This window comes from Homo sapiens, chromosome 7, assembly GCF_000001405.40.
Source record: "Homo sapiens chromosome 7, GRCh38.p14 Primary Assembly".
NCBI lineage: Eukaryota > Metazoa > Chordata > Mammalia > Primates > Hominidae > Homo > Homo sapiens.
The window spans coordinates 146,035,562-146,037,418 of NC_000007.14; the positions used below are offsets into that span (position 1 = coordinate 146,035,562).

General features: G+C 36.5%; 1 annotated feature.

Moving 5' to 3' along the window:
* Positions 242-442: a silencer, noted in NCBI's record as "peak6823 fragment used in MPRA reporter construct". NCBI's record gives its function as "represses an SCP1 promoter by STARR-seq MPRAs in K562 erythroleukemia cells {active_cell/tissue: K562}" and the evidence as "EXISTENCE:reporter gene assay evidence [ECO:0000049][PMID:32103011]".

Here is a 1,857-nt window from a genome sequence, read left to right on the forward strand (position 1 = left end):
ATATCCAGAATCTACAATGAACTCAAACAAACAAATTTACAAGTGACTCTTACTTACATTAATTTGATGAGGTTTTTCTCCAGGTCTGGATAGTAATGATGATAACTCCACCATTAAGAAGATACTCTACTTTTGCATAAAAATCACAATGTCCAACACTTTTTTACATGAATTGTCTCATTTTATGACAGCAAAAGCTCTCTGTGATCCAGGTAGGATAAATATAGTGTACCCCTCATACAGCCAAGCTACAAAAGCCCATGGAAGTGTTAGGGCTGATCTCATGCTAACATATGGTAGACCAAAACAAATGCTTTCTTATTTAATAACAAATCTTACTTGTACACCAGTACATGAATCAGATAAAAGCAAGACTTGGCTAGTTGAACCAAGGAGAGACCCTTGACCCTCTGTTAGCTCAGCCTCTCAATGCCACAGAACACAGTTTTAAGGAAGAGGTTATCTGATCAAGTTGTTATTAGAAAGCTACAACAACAAAAACAATTATTCTGATGCAGAGTCAAGAGATTGGTGTAGAAGAGAGCCTGTAGGCTGAGGGACAAGAGTTAGTAGCTAGCACTTCACAATAAGAGAGAGAAACTGTAAGACCAGAAAAACCTATAAGGGTTCCCACTATTCAAATCCGGGATACTTAAAAGTGCAGTAATGCATTGTAATACATTAAAAAATTAAAATATATGAGTCCATAGAGATAACATAGGTAAACAAATAAATATGTACCTACATGCATGCACACATATAAAATACATAATTAGGAGAGAAGAGAGGTCCTTTTCTGAAGCATCATGCAGGACACCCAGTCAGTGTCTCTGCACAAGTAGACTGGGAAAATTATTATGTTGATTTCCTTATAACAGGGATTGGGTGAGATAGAAATCATCAGTAAATGGTAGATCTAGGGAGAATTTTTGCTAAAAATCAGCATATTTCCTTTGTCTTAAAGTTCCCCCTTCTGACTGCTTATTTGTAACAGGGAGAAAAAAGAAGTAATTACACAGCAAAGTAAATTATGCAGCACCTTGAACAAGCGATCAAAGCCAACTTCACCAGTAAGGGACATAGAGATATCATGTGTCTTCAGATGCGACAGTCCAAGAAGGACACATAACCTGTACAATATTCCAGCTGAGAATGAAAAGTCTGAATCTAATAACAAGAAACCACCAGATAAACACAAAATTAAAAGTTTACATTAAATGAAAAGGAAAGAGACCAATAAATGTCAATGTCATAAAAGACAAAGGCTGTGGAGATATTCCAGATTCAAGAAAGTCAAATAGAAATGACAACTAAATACAATTTCTGACTCTAGGCAGAATCTTGTATTGAAAGAAAAAAAAAAAAGAAAAAAATATATATATTTTTTTCTTCCTCCTTTTCTTTTTTATTTTATTATACTTTAAGTTTTAGGGTACATGTGCACAACGTGCAGGTTTGTTACATATGTATACATGTGCCATGTTGGTGTGCTGCACCCATTAACTCGTCATTTAGCATTAGGTGTATCTCCTAATGCTATCGCTCTCCCTCTCCCACCCCACAACAGTCCCCGGTGTGTGATGATCCCCTTCCTGTGTCCATGTGTTCTCATTGTTCAATTCCCACCTATGAGTGAGAACATGCGGTGTTTGGTTTTTTGTCCTTGCGATAATTTGCTGAGAATGATGGTTTCCAGTTTCATCCATGTCCCTACAAAGGACATGAACTCTTCATTTTTTATGACTGCATAGTATTCCATGGTGTATATGTGCCACATTTTCTTAATCCAGTCTATCGTTGTTGGACATTTGGGTTGGTTCCAAGTCTTTGCTATTGTGAATAGTGCTGCAATAAACA